The sequence below is a fragment of the Homo sapiens genome, chromosome 12 (assembly GCF_000001405.40).
Source record: "Homo sapiens chromosome 12, GRCh38.p14 Primary Assembly".
NCBI classification, from domain to species: Eukaryota; Metazoa; Chordata; class Mammalia; order Primates; family Hominidae; genus Homo; species Homo sapiens.
The window spans coordinates 75,800,365-75,818,187 of NC_000012.12; the positions used below are offsets into that span (position 1 = coordinate 75,800,365).

Below are 17,823 nucleotides of genomic sequence, written 5' to 3' on the forward strand. Positions count from 1 at the left end.
GCATCCATTCTGCACTCTGTTGGCTGATGTCAGTTTCATCCATTATGTATAGATATGTGTATGTTTTGACACCCAGAGAAGTAGTTTTACTTAATATTGAAATTATTATAGGTGTGTGCATTCTAAATTTCCACCATAGATTAGTTTTGCTTATTTCTAATCAAAGATAACTTTCCTCTGTTTAAGAAAAGTACAACTAGATTAGGTAAACAACCAAAACCTTCAAAGATATCAAGTTGTTATTTTGAGCATATTGATGAATTCAAACTCTGGAAAGGCAAAGCTTCTTGGATTTTCACACGGTATTAAATATTTACAAGAGGCCAGGCACAGTGGCTCACACCTGTAATCCCAGCACATTGGGAGGCCAAGGCAGGTGGATCACTTGAGGTCAGGAGTTTGAGACGAGACTGGCCAACGTGGTGAAACCCCATCTCTACTAAAAATACAAAAATTTTAGCCAGGCTTAGTGGCGCACGCTTGTAATCCTAGCTACTTGGGAGGCTGAGCGGGGAGAATCACTTGAACCCATGAGGCGGAGGTTGCAGTGAGCCAAGATAGGGCCACTGCACTCCATTCTGGGCAACAGAGCAAGACTCCATTTCAAATATAAATAAATAAATAAATTTATTATATATTTATTATACATATAGTAAAAGGAGGATGGGGTAAGACTGGGCACAAGGATGAGTAATGAAGATATATTGGGTGAATTACCATTTAATTTTACTGACCTAAAAAGTTTTAAACAACACACCAAGTTCTGCTAACACCTGCAAAGTGTACTCCTCACTCCTTGATCCATCCCTCTACTTCTCCTCCTATGTTGTGTGTTTTCAGGCCACAGTTGGGCCTGAGAGTGTAGTGACCCACACCTTTTCCATGTCTCTTTCTTTTATTTTTTTTGAGATGGAGTCTTGCTCAGTCACCCAGGCTGGAGTGCAATGGCGCAATCTCGGCTCACTGCAACCTCCACCCCCTGAGTTCAAGAGATTCTCCTGCCTCAGCTTCCCAAGTAGCTGGGACCAGAGGCATGCACCACCATGCTTGGCTAAGTTTTTTGTTTTTTTTAGTAGAGACGGGGTTTCACCACGTTGGTCAGGCTGGTCTCAAACTCCTGACCTCAAATGATCCATCGCCCTCGGACTTCCAAAGTGCTGGGATTACAGGTGTGAGCCACCGCACCCGGCCCATGTCTCTTTCTTAGCCCATCTCCCTGTTCTCAATAAGACCCATTCATTAGGTGTGACCCCTTTGCCTGTACACTCCCCTGCACTGGCTTTCAGGCCCTGATTACAGCTCTGACTAGCCTCCTAAGATCACCAGCATCCCCACCATTACACACAAGGCCATGTAGTTTTCTTGGCTGAGGCAGCAACAATGTGACACTCCGTCTTCAGTTCAATCTCCAGCCTCTCAACATACTATTTCCTATTGGGTTATACAATAGAAAATTACAGCATAAACTGTAAAGATTAAGCTTTCTCATGTCAAATGAGATCTAAATTATGCCTTTTAATGGGAATTTCATCTGAATTTCATGCCAAATCCATATGACAAGCAATGAGCACGGACCTTGGGAAAAATTCAATAGGAAGGTGAAATGAAGGACAATATCAAAGTAGAAATGACAATGCAGTAAGTGTAAGGCCTTTGGCAATGTTTGGGGGATAAATAATAGATTTTAGTCGCCAAGAAATAGGTTATATTTGTTGGGTACTAAATAGGCATTGTTGTGAGATGTGGAGAACAGGAGGTGAGGGAATCATGACACAAAATAACTGTCTCTAAAGTGTTTGTGCTCTAATTGTGAGGAGAACGCATATGTATAAATGACAGGTGAAAATGACATCCAAACTAAACACCTAAGTGCTAAGAATAACGTGCTGATTAGAAGGACATGAGGGCCGGGCGTGGTGGCTCACACCTGTAATCCCAGCACTTTGGGAGGCCGAGGCAGGTGGATCACGAGGTCAGGAGATCGAGATCATCCTGGCTAAAATGGTGAAACCCTGTCTCTACTAAAAATACAAAAAATTAGCCGGGCGTGGTGGTGGGCGCCTGTAGTCCCAGCTACTTGGGAGGCTGAGGCAGGAGAATGGCATGAACCCGGGAGGCGGAGCTGGCACTGAGCCGAGATTGTGCCACTCCACTCCAGCCTGGGCCACAGAGTGAGACCCCGTTTCAAAAAAAAAAAAAAAAGAAGGACATGAGGATAACAGCTGGGGGTGGTGGCTCAAGCCTGTAATCCCAGCACTTTGGGAGGCCAAGGCAGGCAGATCAGTTGAGGTCAGGGTTTCGAGACCAGCCTGGCTAACATGGTGAAACCCTGTCTCTACTAAAAACACACAAAAAATTCACTGGGTATGGTGGCAGGCACCTGTAATAGCAGCTACTCAGGAGGCTGAGACAGGAGAATCACTTGAACCTAGGGGGTGGAGGCTGCAGTGAGCTGAGATTGTGCCACTGCATTACAGCCTGGGCGACAGAGCAAGACTGTCTCAAAAAATAAAATAAAATAAAATAAAGGAAGAAAAAAAAAAGAAGGACATGAGGATAAGCAGCCTCCCAGAGAAGGCTGGGTTTTGAAACACACTGTGAAGTTGGTAAGGAAAGCTAACTACCAACGAAGTAGTGGGAGTAGTGGTGGAAATTCTTTAGATTATCATGTAAGGAGATGTTCAGAAATTTGACACAATCAGAACTAAAATTTTGACAGCTGGCTATTAGGCAAGGGAAATTATTATTTCAAAGCTGCCAACAGTTTTCTGTTTATTTGTTTTTAATATAGCTGGAAGTGAAGGCATCATAAATGGTAGCAGGGGGAGCAGCTTCTTGATTGGGTAAAAAGAAAGTCCAAATTCAAATCTGGGATAGAAAATGTGAGACTATGAAGAATAAACTGCTCTGTATGATTTAATACAAGGTTATCATCATTGTGGACTGAAGTGTCTGTCTTGAGGAAGAAAGGATTTTCTCAACTCTCTAGGGCCAGTGATGACCCAACAGCTAGGGCTACAGGTAATAGGGACATGGTCAGAGGCCATGGTATGTTAAGCTGATTCCTGCACTATGGTGTAGGACTAGGTTTAGAGGAAGGTTGAAAGAGATGACTATGAGGGAACTCTTCTTGAGGGCTTTGCCAATGAACTCTAGTGACAGCTAATATCCAGGTTCCTTTTTCTGTTCTGCAAAATAATTCTCTTCTGTTATCCCCAAACCTTTGGTAATGTTTTGCTAACTACATAGTCTAGTCTTAGAAGTGCTTACAAAATTAACTGTGTCCACATTGAGACTTAAGCAATGTAAGCATATCCGTAGCAGCCTGGGGAAACAGTTTGAAATTGCTGGAATCCACCCATATTGAAGCCTAGAGAGCATTAAGCCAGACAGGGAGAAGGCAAGTAAGAGCTCATTAAAGGCTAGGCTTCTTCCTGATTTGGGGGTAAGAAGAGAGCTTGTGTGCTATTAATAGGTATTAAATAAAAAGTAACCCCTGGAGAACTTGAGTCATCTCAGTGTTGATCACATATGAGACCATGAAAGCTTAGATTTCGGGCTTTATAAATTAAAAACCTAGACAAGCACCACTCACTGGAAATGTACAGGGATGAGCGCTGGGTACTTGTAATTAGCTGTACCTAGCTGTAAACCCTGAACAAGTCTGATAACTTCTCTGAGCCTCATTTTCATCATCTACAAAGTGAAGGAAATTAGATCATTCTAAAATATCTATTAGATCAAAAGTTTTGCAATCCTGTCTACCCCCACCCCCGATGTCCTATATAATAGGAAGCCTGAAGAAATATAAAAGGAAATGCAAAGTTAAAAGAAAAAGAAAGTCATTGTAGCAAATATCATGTATCCTGATGGTCAATAGCTATATAATATACTGCTGCTCCTTATGATATTATGGTTATTATAAGATATATTATCTATCTACCTTTTTAGAAATTCTTATTTTTTTTAGTGACTAATCACTCTTACCCACAGTATTGTCTTCTTTATCTTATTAGTACTTATCTCTTACTTTATTTCATTACTGTCTTCTGTGTTCCCAATGAAAATGTAAGTGCCCTGAGAGCCTGTCCATTTTCTTTACTGATGTATTCCCAGCACCTAACACAGTATCTGGCACATGGTGGATATGCAATAAATATTTTTGAGTAAATAAATGATATTCTCTGTATCTTCACTCTTTTAGAAGATCTGACATGGAAGTAGTTGACTTCTATTAAACTCAATAGATAATACTCAATAGATAACAACCAACAAGGTTGCAGTAGATAATAACCCAAAAGTAGGATTGCCTACCAATTCTTTTGGTCATCTACCATATAAATACTAACTATATCCAACAGATTAGCTTCCAGTGAAACTGTTTGATCAGATGAAGTATGGTGCCCCAGGATCACAAAAACAGTTACTTTATGAATTAAGATATCTTAAAATTGTGGGTGAGATTTTCTTTCTTATTTGTCTTTCATTTCCAATAATCTAAGATCTTGACAACATGAAAAACATCAAGAGAAAGTCATGCTGGTTCAGTAGGAATGAGGAACCAATGTTAAAACCTGTTAACGCCACCTGGTCTCAAGAAAGTATATCACCATCATCACCTCCATCAATAATTAAAAGCAATGAAGCTGTCACACAATCAAAGCACAATAGCAAGAATTAATAAGACCAAAAAACAGCTTTCTGCCCAATCTTTAAAAAATGAATCCTGCATCGAGAGAGCAAAACCCAATATCTTCCTGTCTAGGCCTATTCCTAAGGCCTACAAAATTTCAAACGTCCAGCTAACACTCTCAATCTAGAGGCTCCTAACAGAACTAAAATTCTTTTGAGGTCTACAGAACAATTTAATCTTATCAATAGTACTGGTGAAGCTTACCCACGAAGGCACCATTTTTAGCAGGGGAAACTAATCTCAGCTCTTTTCACATTTATTTTTTAAGGGAGAAATGGGCCAGAGTTAGTGTTGGAAGAAACCTAGAGGGAGAGAAGAAAGTTGAATGGTGTCAGTAAATTTTCCAGCTAGACATAACAAAAACGGAAGTAAAATCTATGGGATGGAAACTCAATTATTTATAGAGTTAGCCTCAGAAAATTCCAGCATCAGCTCCAAAAACTTTGTAGAATGCCACTGGGGTGACAGAATACTCTAAAACATTGACTGAGCAGGCACTGGGACAGCTTAACAGCTAGAGAGAGTTATGCTGTGAATATACACATTTTCATGACTTGGGCCCAAGGGTTACATTGCTAGTTTCACCAAAGACCTTTTGTCTTTTTTTGTAGCTAAAATAGCGTTTAATATAAAACAGGTTTATTTTCCTAGCTTCAGAGTCCTTAAAGTGTAAATTGTTTAGATAAAATCAGTAAAATTCACTATTAAAAGAGGGGATCAATCTGTAACCACATATAATTTGTATTCTTTTTAAAAACAGCTTCCCACTCTGCTCCATCTTGTGTGAACATCTTTCCATCAATTGCTTGTCCTTGCCTCTTCCTGCACACATATACCCACAGTACTTTAGTAACAGCTAGTACATATTTAGGACTTGAACTTAAGGACAGGGCTAATATACTCTATGTATATTGGAACATAGAGAACACACCCCTTGTAATACACACCAAGCGCCAGTTTGCCATTCACAGCCTTAGTCCTGCTCTATTCTTAGCTATTGACATTGCTTTTCCTTTTCCATTTCCGTTTTATTCTTGAACTCTATCATCTGGTGTAAATTTGTTTCCTCATAATTATTCTGGTTCTAATCTTAGTCTCATGTCACTTTGGATTTCACCTCTATTGCTTCAACTCTGTTGCCACAACATCTCCATAGTAACACTTGACCAACAAAAAAGCATCTCAATTTCTCATAAGTCCTATATTCTCCTTTCATCTAATAGACACTTTTAAAAACATTTTTTAAACTTAAAATAGAGTAAAAAAAAAATTGGAGGAATTGCTGGGTCTTATGATAAATCTATTTTTCATTTCTTTAGAAACCTCCATAATGTTTTCCACAATGGCTGCACCAATCTACGTTCCTACCAGCATTGTATTAGGGTTCTCTTTTCTTCACAACTTTACCAACACTTTATTTCTCTTGTCTTTTTGATAATGGCTATTCTAACAGGAGTGAGATGATATTTCAATGTGGTTTTGATTTGCATTTCCCTGATAACCAATGATGTTGAGTACATTTTCATATAATTGTTGGCCATTTTATTTCTTCTTTGGACAAATGTCTATTCATGTATTTTGCCCAAATTTTAATTGAATTATTTGATTTTTTTTACTATTGCACTGTGCAAATTCCTTGTTTTTTGATGTTAACCCCTTATCTAACACATAATTCCCTAATATTTTCTCCCAGTCTGTTGGCTGTTTCATTTTGTTGATTAGCTCCTTTGCTGTGCAGAAGCTTTTTAGTTTTCTGTCATTTCACTTGTTTATTTTTGCTTTTGTTCTCTGTGCTTTTGGTGAGATATCAAAAAAATCCTTGCCAAGGCCAAATCAATAAACTTTTCCCCTATATTTTCTTCTGGGAGCTTTACAGTTTTAGGTCTTATGTTTCATTCTTTAATCTACTTTGAGTTTATTTTTGTGTATGGCATTAGTCAAGTTTCATTCTTTTGCCTGTGGATACCAAGTTTTCCCAACATAATTTACTGAAGGGACTAGCCTTTCCCCCATGGTATCTTCCTGGTGGCCTTGTCAAAAATTAGTTGACCATCTATGTATAGGTTTATTTCTGGGCTCGCTATTCTGTTTCATTGATGTAGGAGTCTGTTTTTATGTCAGTACCATACTGTTTTGATTACTATTTCTTTGTATTATAATTTGGAATCAGAAAGTATGATGCCTCCAACTTTGTTTTTCTTTCTCAAAATTATTTTGGCTACTTGACATCTTTGTGGTTCCATACAAATTTTAGAATGTTTTATATTTCTGTGAAAAATGCATTGGAATTTTGATGGGAATTACATTGAATGCATATATTGCTTCAAATTGTATAGACATTTTAACCATATTGTCTTCCAATTCATAAACATGGGATATCTTTCCAGTTAACTGTGTGTTCTTTAATTTATTTCATCAATGTTTTATAGTTTTCAGTGTGAAGATCTTTCACATCCTTGGTTACATTTATTACTATTTTATTCTTTTGGATGCTATTGTAAATGGGATTATGTTCTTGATTCCTTTTTCAGAGAGACCATTATTTGTGTAAAGACATGCAACTGATTTTTGTATGTTTATTTTGTACCCTGCAACTTTACTGAATTCATTAATCAGTTCTAATGAATTTATTTATTAGTTCTAATAGCTCTAATAGAAAGTAGGAAAGGTGAGATAGTAAGGCCTTGATCAATAATTGAAACAGTGGCCTGTACCAATGGTAAGGTAAGGGACAGAGACGGTGACAACCAAAGTCAAGCAGCAGCATCCTGCCAGGAATTTGATTAGAGAGGATGTGATTGGAGACTCCTAGTTTTGTGGAACTGCTTGAAATCAAGAGGGAATATGGAAATACTGAGACCATATCCTCAGTCTAGAATGCAACTCAAAAGACCACAAGAGTAGGAGATAAAAAATCAGGATTCTAAGAAACCTAGATGGAGACATGTTAATTATCTATTGATATCTAAAAAAAAACCCTCAAGTTACTTATCATCTCTCAGTTACATCTCACAGTTATCACTGTACAGTTATCATCTCACAGCTCTGCATGTCAGAAATCCAAGTGGGCTTCACTGAGTTCTGTGATTAGGACCTCGCAAGACTGAAATCAGTGTTGGTTAGGCTGGGATATTATCTAGAGGTTCTAGAGAAGAATCCACTTTCAAACTCATTCTGGCTATTGGCTGAATTCATTCCTTGTACTTGCAGGACTGAGGTTGCTGGTCTCTTGCTCGCTGTTAGCTGGTATCTGCTCTCAGATTATAAAGGCCACCCATATTCCTTCCATCTTCGAAGCCAACAGTGGTGTGTCAAATGGCCCTGTTGCTTCAAATCTCTTCAACTACCATTATTCCTACTTCAGCCCCACTTGCCACCAGCCAAAGAAAGCTCTCTGCTTTTAAGGGATCATGTGATTGTAATGGGCCCACTGCATAGCCCAGAATAATCCCCCTTATTTCAAGGTCAACTGTGTCATATAACATAATCAAAGACATTTCATCACATTCACAGGTTCTGGGGATTAGGCAGAGCATCTTTGGGGGGCCAATTTAGAAATTCTAACTTTAGAAATCCTATTATAGGACTCTAGCCAAATTCATTCTTGAATTATATAAATTTATATATACTGTGTACTTAGTATAATGTTTTCTATACTGGGTCCTTGCTTTTTCTCAGGTATTGATATGATTTGGCTGTGTCCCCACCCAAATCTCATCTTCATCTTGAATTGTAGTTCCCATAATCCCCACATGTCATGGGAGGGACTAGGCGGAGAAAATTGAATCATGGAGGCTGTTTCCCACATCTTGTTCTCATGATAGTGAGATGGTTCTCACGGGATCTGATGGTTTTTTAAGGGATTTCCTCCTTTAATGGGCACTCATTCTCTCTCCTGCTGCCATGTGAAGAAGGATGTGTTTGCTTCCCCTTCAGCCATTACTGTAAGTTTCCTGAGGCACCCCCCAGCCATGCTGAACTGTGAATCAACTAAACCTCTTTCCTTTATAAATTACCCAGTCTTGGGTATGTCTTGTATGTTTTTATTAGCAACATGAGAACAGACTAATACAAATATAATGTAGCTTGAGAAATCAGAGACGTATGGATTGTGCTGATGAATCTTAGAAAAAGAAAGGTCTTCAGAAGATAATCTTTGAAGTAAGTAAGAAACAATTATCCTCATTTTATACTTAAGTACCCAAACCAAGAGAGTTTAAATGAGTCTTGCTCAAGACCACATGGCTCCTGGTGGCAAAAATAGAGCAGAATCTTATCTGTTGCTCTTCACAGCCTCAACATGTTTAAACAAGTGCTTGTTCCCGAAGCTGTTAGAAATCTTTAAAAGCATCTCTAATTGTTTAGCTGCTAGGTTTCTCCATTCAAGAATAAATCAGCATCTCTTGCAGCAAGGCCAAAGATTCAGGATTTCAAGAGTCTTTCCTACTGTTAGTCATTAAGAGCCCAGTTAGGAATCAAATATGCACTTAAATTTAGGTAAAACATGCATGGATTTTGCAGGCAGAGAGCTTGAGTTTCGATCTACCTTACTTTGGGCAAGTTTCTTCACCTCTCTTCATCTGGAAAATGGATGCAATACTAGTACCAATCTCACAGAGCTACTCTGAGGAGTAATTGAAATAGTGCATGCAAATTGTTCACTTACCGTAGTGACAAGACTATATATGTTTTCTGTTTTTTGTTTTTTGTTTTACTAGACCTCCACACGGATTTCTGATGATAGCAGCTGGATTAGCTATTCTCTCTCTCTGGCTATTTCTCATTTCTGCAGCTACTTGACTGAGGGAATGGCCCCACTCTTTTTTCCTGCTCCCTTGGTGTCAGGCTAATTGAATAAAAATAGGAATCTACAAATTAAAAGTCTCACACATGCTGCTATAGCAACGCTCTCTCTCCCATTCCTCTGATTACATGCATCCATCCTCTTGTAGGCTTAAGACAAATGTAATAGTGATTTGCAAGGGCTCTAGGGTCAAACTAGGGTGACCAACTGCTCCAGTTTGCCCAGGCTAAGGAGTTTTCAGGGACATGGAACTTTAAAGGCAAAAACCAGGATTGTCCCAGGAAAACAAAACAAAACAAAAAAAAAACAAACAAAAATCCAAGATGTTGTTCACCCTCTATCAGACTGCCTAGGTTCTATCTTTGGGACCTTAGGCAAGTTACCGACCTTGCTGTACCTCCATTTCCTCATCTGAATATAGATTATAACATCTTTCCTTATAAAGTTTTTTTTTTAAGAGTAAATGAATTATATAGAGAGTGCTCAGAATAGTACCTAGAATGTAACAAGCACTCAATACATGTTGGTTAGTATTACAATTACTAATCACTACAGGAAAACATGGAGTAATAAAACTAACACACAAGGACATGATGGAGGATCTAGAATCTTATAAAGTCCTTAGAGCCCAAGAGTGAAGCATCTAGGAAGGATTATCCACCCCAACAATCCCCCACCCTGCCATCATCGGGTCATGATCCTTCTCTGGGAGATCATGAAACCAAACAAAAATAATAATATACTATGACCTCAAGAAAGTATAATAAGAGAAATACAAATTGCACTACCTTGAGCTAATTTATTTGACTAATCAAAACAAAACAAAGCAAACAAACAAAAAAGCCCCAAACAGAAGTTTGAAAATGCTCAGTTACTAAAGCTGCAAAGAAATAGACACTCTCACACTGCACTAGAAGGCAGGCAAAATGGCCAGCCCCCATGGAAGGGTATCTGGCAATATCTACCAAAATTACAGATGCATTTGAACCACAATGCTACTCCTGGGAATCTATCCCACAGTTACTGTTACCTATGTATCACAGCATAGATGGTTAAAGATATCAACTAGAGAACTGTTTCTTATAGCAAAAACTGGAAATGACCTCCAAAAATAGGGGACTGGTCAAAAGAACTATGGTGTATCTGTATAACTGAATATGGTACACAAATAAAAAAAGAATGAAGAAGCTCTCTATGTATCAATATGGCAAGATCTCCAAAATATATTGTTCAATAATGAAAAAGCTTGGTGCAAAATAGTGTAATATGCTATCTTTTCTGAAAAAAGAGAGGAGGAAATAAGAATGTATATGTATGCTTGTACATGCAATAAGAAACACTGCAGCTGGACACAATGGTGTGCACCTGTAGTCCTCAGCTACTCAGGAGGCTGAGGCCAGAGGATCACTGAGTCCAGCAGCTCAAGGCTGTAGTGCACTATGGAGGCACCTGTGAATAGCCACTTCGCTCCAGCCCAGGCAACGTCATGAGACCCTGTCTCGAAAATAAAATAAAAAACACTGGAAAAATAGCAAGAGACTAATTGAAATTACTTATTAAGGGCAGAAAGAAACTGGGTAGATGAAGAGCAAGGTGGGAGCAACATATCTCAATCTAGATTTTTAAATTTTGTTTTTATTTTCACCTTGTAAAGTGTAGTACATAACAAAAAATATATTTGTAGGCCAGGTGCGGTGGCTCATGCCTCTAATCCCAGCACTATGGGAGGCCAAGGCGGGTGGATCACTTGAGGTCAGGAGTTTGAGACCAGCCTGGCCAGCATGGTGAAACCCCGGCTCTACTAAAAACAAAAAAAATTAGCCGGGTGTAGTGGCACATGCCTGTAATCCCAGCTACTGGGGAGGCTGAGGCAGGAGAATCACTTGAACCCAGAGGCAGAGGTGGCAGTGAACCAAGATCATGCCACTGCACTCCAGCCTGGGTGACAGAATGAGACCCTGTCTCAAAAAAAAAAAAAAAAAAAAAAAAAAGAGGCAGAGGTTGCAGTGAACCAAGATCATGCTACTGCACTCCCGCCTGGGTGACAGAATGAGAGCCTGTCTCAAAAAAAAAAAAAAAAAAAGAAAAGAAAAGAAAAGAAAAAGGAAAAGAAATATACATTTTTAAAAACCAAAGTAAAAAATTAAAATCTCCTTTTCTATATCATCCACTTAAAAATTAGCATAGTGTGCTATGATGGCACCTGTGAATAGCCACTTCACTCCAGCCCAGGCAATATCATGAGGCCCCATCTCTAAAACAAAACAAATTTAAAAAAAGAAAGAAACTGGAAAAATAACAAGAGAGCACTTAACTTCTATAAAACACATCTCATTTGAGAAGACAGGAAATTGTGTTGAAAACAACCCCATGGTATCCTCCATGCACCCAAACAAATAAACAAAAGATTTCTGCCATGTGATTTTGAGGACCACTCCCTGCCAGCTAAGCAGAAAGAAAGCAAGGGCACAGGTGGTGTTCTGGGAATTAGAGTCATATAGGAACTGATTTATATTCCTCTCCCATTTGTATGTAGACCCCAGTAACCCAACAGCGTGGCCAGCATCTGGGAGGAGATAAAACGCAGTGTGTTTTGCCTTTTTCAGCTAGGATGAGGTTTCATTCTCTCATCGTTTTACATTTGCACGATAGGAGATCTGTTCTGCTTCTTATGTTAATTGAAATCGGCTGCTTTGGGCTCTGACACAGGCATTTAGCGCTAACAGTCAATTGCTCTTTCCTCAGCCATCTGGCAAAAGAGTTGAAACCAGCAATTTTCTGAGTCAGAATTAGACATCTGAAAACAAACGTGCACATAGGCAAACCTCTTAGAAGTGCAGAATGAAAGAAAGTAGCAGGTAGCAGGATGCTATAAAGCCAACTCTGAAGCAATGGGATCTCTAATAGGGGAACCCAAAAGGGTACGTTGGCTTCTGACACCACTACCACCCTTTCCAGTATGCATCAGAAGCACTGGGAATCAGGCTGTCTCTCTCTCCCTTACCTTCCCTGCTAAATGGCAGGAGCTACCCTAGCTTTGGCCTCATTTGGCTTTCCCTTGTAGACAGGTGTACTACTCTCTCAGATATTCTCACCTTTAGTACTTGAGCAGCCACTTCAAGTTCAGCAGGAATTTATGGAGCACTCGAGCTTCTGTGATAGCATCTTCTCCTGGTTCTTCAAAATCCCTGACTGTTCTTTTTCTCCTCCCCCTCATGTATTCCCCTTTCTCCATCTGCCCTTTAAATGTTGGTGTTTCCTCAACTTCTGTCCTCGGCTCATCTTACATCATATATTTACTCTCCTGTTGCAGGTTTGAGGCTGCAAACAGGAGAGTAAGTATATGGTGTAAGATGAGCTGAGGCCTAAAGGACCATGCAAATAGTGCTGGTTTCATTCTTAAGAGGGGGACTCATTCTAGACCCTTTCTGACACAGGCTGCTTTTTTCTATGGGCCCATTCAGAGTTTCATGATGAAGCACCAAACTCTCTTCACACAAAAGCAGCAGTGACTCTATATCTGGCTGCCATTTCCTGCCTTCCAATTGAAGTCTTTCCTAGTAAAGAGTTAGGACACCCCCAAACCTGGGCAGAACATATCCCCCACCCCCAACCACCAATGTCAATGGCTCAAAAGCTACACAAGTAAACCTTAAGTATTAGTAAAGCACAAATCATGTCACTTCCAGATGGAAGACTGTGTCATTCCTGAATCAAACACTCATTTGTGGTACCCATTATGGTGCCATTTGGCCCTACAAATCCTCTATACAGAAAGTGCAAATAATACACAAGTGCTCATCAGGTTAATCTGAGTGGTAGCTGTGTCCACGTGTGCCTGTCCATGCATCCCTCCCAAAGATTAGCTAAGCATCCGCTCCAAGCATCTTTCATCTGCTGAACCCTCTTGCTCTGCCTTTACTCTGGTCCTTATATCCACATCACTAAGAGGGAAGGTTAGTGTAGAAGACAGACAGGATGTATGAAGTTTGGATAACACAGGATTTGGGGAGTGTGGTCTTTCTGCCCACATGCACCCTGCCCTAAGTGAGTTATGTTCTTCTTTCCCCTTGTTTATTGCTCTGTTTTGAATTGATTCAATGAAGTATGAGATTCCAACATATTCATTCCAGCTATGAGCCTTCCTGTTCTGTGACCTCTGTAATAAGTTGCCTGGTATGGTACTTGTAGGCTATCCTTGCATCAGAGTGATTTCCCACAAGACATTTTATTGGCTTCATCTGTATTTTACCTTATGATTACATGCTACTATTCTTTTTTGCATTTTCAGATTTCCCTTTAATAATTTTGTAATCTAGAAAGTAAGTGTGCTTTTCAAAAGGGTAACATGATCTACTGTGTCTTATTGAACCCCAGGCACTAAGGGTTGAAACTAAGTTTTATCCAGACTAGTTTCCTGTGGAGCAACACAGCAAATAGGATGGTGGTCAAGTTTGCACAGGTTGGCTTCTCACCTTATGTAAGAATGTCAGAGATGGTCCACTTGCTGTCTGTCCCCTCACTCCCTGCTGTAGTCAGATGTTTATGACTTATCTGTAGACCCCAGACTCAACTAAAGCATAGGAGCAGCTCAATGCTGGGTTCTTGGTGCTAGCATCTACCGCAATTCAGGGTGAAAATACTGGGGTAGGGGAGATGACATTACGAAGACTGACTAGCCACTGGGCAAGGTGCTCACAGCCTCAGATGCTGGACACAATCAGCCGTGTGTGTCACTGTGGACTTGGCTAACTGTGAATCTCCTTCCTCTGGCATTTCCTATTTTTATTCTCAGAAGGTAACTATAATTTTAGAGGATGCAAAATGGCAATCCACACCATGTCATCGTTAAACAATTAAGGAATTTCACATTTTTTAAAATCCAGATTTCTTGCTTCTCTTGACAAATGAGAGCTCTGGACATGCAATCCCCCGTGGCAACAATAGGCTGCCCTCTTTAGATAGAATCCAACCACTCATGAGCAGTTCACTCCTTTACATTTCCTGCATCTCTCTCCTTGGCTATACTATTGGTTGCAGTATTCCTGGCTGTTGCCTCATGTTTTACAGAAAGTGCAATTAACCTGTTGTCTGTTCTCTTTGTCCAATTTGCAGGCTTCATGCGGCCCAGTTCTCTTGCCTGTGCTCTGCTCTCTGAGCATGAGTGCTGATATCCAGCCTGCCTCACTGTGCCTTTCCATCCCCCACCTTCCTGTGCATGCAGACCTCCTTACTATTGCTCTCTGCCTGGTTTCTCAGGTCCCTGTTTGACCTTGGCCAGTCTTCTAGTTGCTCTTCTCTTAAACCAATAATATGACCTGACACCAAGAACTGCTGGGGGACCTGCTTTTGATGACCTACTGCATTTTAACATAGGGGTCATCACACCAGCCTAGCAAACATTGTCAGAACCCCAGAAGCTTCTTTAAAAACTAGTCAAGTGTTTCAGTAGCCTGATACTAAATCCCTCCAGTCTGTGACCTATTCATTCGGTTGGTACCAAATGCCCCCTGAGGTTAAACAAGGCCCTGAAAAGATAATGAGATGAAATGGCTTGACCTTCAGGTGGAAGATCTCTCCTTTCCTTCCTAGCCTCTAGCTGGCTTAGATTATTTTTATCATTTTTCAAAGCAGCAACGTTTATTTCCTCTGCTTCAGTGAGCTGTGCAGATGCAAGGTCTGGAAGGAATATTTAGTGGTCGCCATGGTTACCATTAGTCATATGAAGTTATAGCGCATGTGCTGATTCCTCTCTTCACAGCTGTAAAAAGAAAGCACGCTTCAAAAAGCAGGCTTGCTAGGGCTCTGAAGACTTTAATTCTGTAATGGGTCCAGCTCCTCTGGTCATTTATCTTGATCTGCCAGTTTAATTAGCACTTTAAAGATTTTAGGCAGAGAAGATTTCATAGAACATGAAGCTAGATGGACATTTTGAGATTTAGCCTCACCTTCTGATTTTACAAATAAGGAAACTGAGGCCCAGAAAGGAGAAGGGACTTAGAGCCACACAGTGAGTCAATTAAAGTCATCAAAGGGGTATGCTTAGTAAGTACCAGGGCCAGGGCTCCTTCTAGCTCCGCTATATCTCCCAACCTAACTGGCAGACTGAGTCATGTGAAGCTCTAGGATGGACAAGGACTAAACAAGTTCAGTGCAAGGCAGGGAAATCTGATCTCACAAGAAGGGGTTGGATTCCTTAAAATGGGGCTTAAGCCAAAATCCAAAAAGGGTCTCCAAGACCATTTTAGGCTTGGAGTATCAACTGAGTTTTATGATTGGCTAAGTCCAGATGGCACAAACAACCACTATTTCAAAATGGGCTGTTCGTCTACTGGTTCTGACCAGTTTTCTAAAAAGTGGATGCCCCGCAAGTGCTGCAGCTCCTTCTGTGGGGCCTGACTTCTCGCTATCTTGCAATTTCCCTACTCTCCCAGCTCAATGTTCAATAGAACCTCACTTCCAATAAGCCCAGGACTATGGCTCTTCTGATGTTTTGCAATTGGCTAGATATAAAAATAAAATTGCACATAGAACATCTTGAACAAGGGTCAACTATCTTCACACTTTTTAATTTAAGTAAGACTTTCTGTTTGATGGACTCAATATTTAACGTGTTTTTGCCTGAATAACCTCAACATTGGATAACCTGAACAAACACTTCTTCACAGACCTTGTTTCTAGGTACTGTTCCTCACTAGAAGGAGCTAGGATTCCTTGGAGAGAGGAGGGCCAGAGCAAAGCAAGACAAGAAGGGTCTGGAATATCTTATACAAAAAAGTGTACAAAAAATGATGAAGGCTATGTCAAAAAGACTTAGGGCCAGCTTCAAGGGTACCTATTGGCTAAATTTGGGACAATTTAAGCTTCAACAAGAATTAAATGGCAGCATTGGATCTAATTCACTGAATAAAAATAAGAATCCAGCTAATCAATGTAGAAGAAGTAATAATAGTTGGTAAGTCAATCATCTTTTTTAAAAGACATCATAGTAATAACTGATTTTATCAAGATTCATCAACGGATGCTAAAGCTATAGGGTAAAAGTTTGAAGAAGACAGGATATTAAATAGTCTCAAAATATCTTCCTGTAGATTATAAAGAGAAATGGTAGTCTTCTAGTGGAGATACCTAGCAATCACCAGTTTATAAAAAGTGATCAAAGTTAATGTCATCAGTAATGTGTGCCTCTAGGTGGTGATATGTTGTTAAGGACACAACATCATTGTCATGGTATGCTTGCCAAAAGTGCATAATCTGAACTTAATGATGAGTAACCCTGAGGCAAACCCAAATCATGTGACATTTCTACCAAACGTCTGGCCTGTATACTTCAATAATGTCAATGTCCTGAAAAACAAAGCTAAGGAACTGCTTCAAATTAAAGGAGATTAATGAGCCATGACAACTAAATGCAATCTGTGATCCTGAATTGGATGCTGGTTCAGGGAGAAAACAAACAATTACAAAAACATTTTTAGGGCAATTATTAAAATTTGAGTATGATCTATATATTAAATAATAGCATGTATCAATGTTAAACGTCCTGAATTTGATGTTGGTACTATGGATCTATAAGGGGAAAAGGAGTATGATGTTTGAAACTAATACTTGAATGGGAAAGGAGGGAAGAAGAGAGAATATAAAAGAAAATGAAGAAAAGGTTAAAACAGGCAAATTCAGATGGGTTTAGAGAGTTAGTTCTTGGTACTACTCTTAAAACTTCTGTAAATTTGAAATGATTTTAAGTTAAAAAGTAAAATTTAGAAACTCTCCAATTTGAAGGGATCCTAATGCAGGTAGCAGGTAGGAGCAAACAAGACAAGCTCAAACTGACAATTTACAAGTCAAGAATTATTTAACTACAGCTCAAAGTTCTAGGCAGAAAGAAATGTATATTAATTTATTCTTTAAGAAAACATTCATTGAATAATATTAATAATAGTTAATATTTGTAAGCACTTTGTGTGGGTTACTTGGTTTCCATGTTGCAGCAGATTGCATTTTCTAAATATAAACATATTGAACTACATTCCATCCTACATGCTTTTCTTAAAATGTGATGTTTACAACTTACATCAAGAGATGGGGTATACTTTTCTTTTTCTTGAACCTGAAAAGGCCTTTAACTACTTTGACCAATATAATAGCATGGAAGAGATGGTGCATGACTTCTGGGGCTAGGCCATAAAAGGCATAGAAACTTATCTTGTCTCTTGGATTGCTTGCTCTGAGAATGAAAAGAAATGGTTATGCAAAAAATGCAATGGGGCCGGGCGTGGTGGCTCATGCCTGTAATCCCAGCACTTCGGGAGGCCAAGGTGGGCAG

General features: G+C 39.6%; 1 long non-coding RNA gene across 4 annotated transcripts in view, besides 1 other annotated feature; it reads right to left on the bottom strand.

Moving 5' to 3' along the window:
* Positions 1 to 17,823, bottom strand: part of LOC105369844 (uncharacterized) — a 310,508-nt gene that overhangs the window by 276,104 nt on the left and 16,581 nt on the right. The gene's annotated exons all lie outside the window — the stretch shown is intronic.
* Positions 15,159 to 15,218: a silencer, noted in NCBI's record as "silent region_4663". NCBI's record gives its function as "represses an Ori minimal core promoter by ATAC-STARR-seq in GM12878 lymphoblastoid cells {active_cell/tissue: GM12878}" and the evidence as "EXISTENCE:reporter gene assay evidence [ECO:0000049][PMID:35858748]".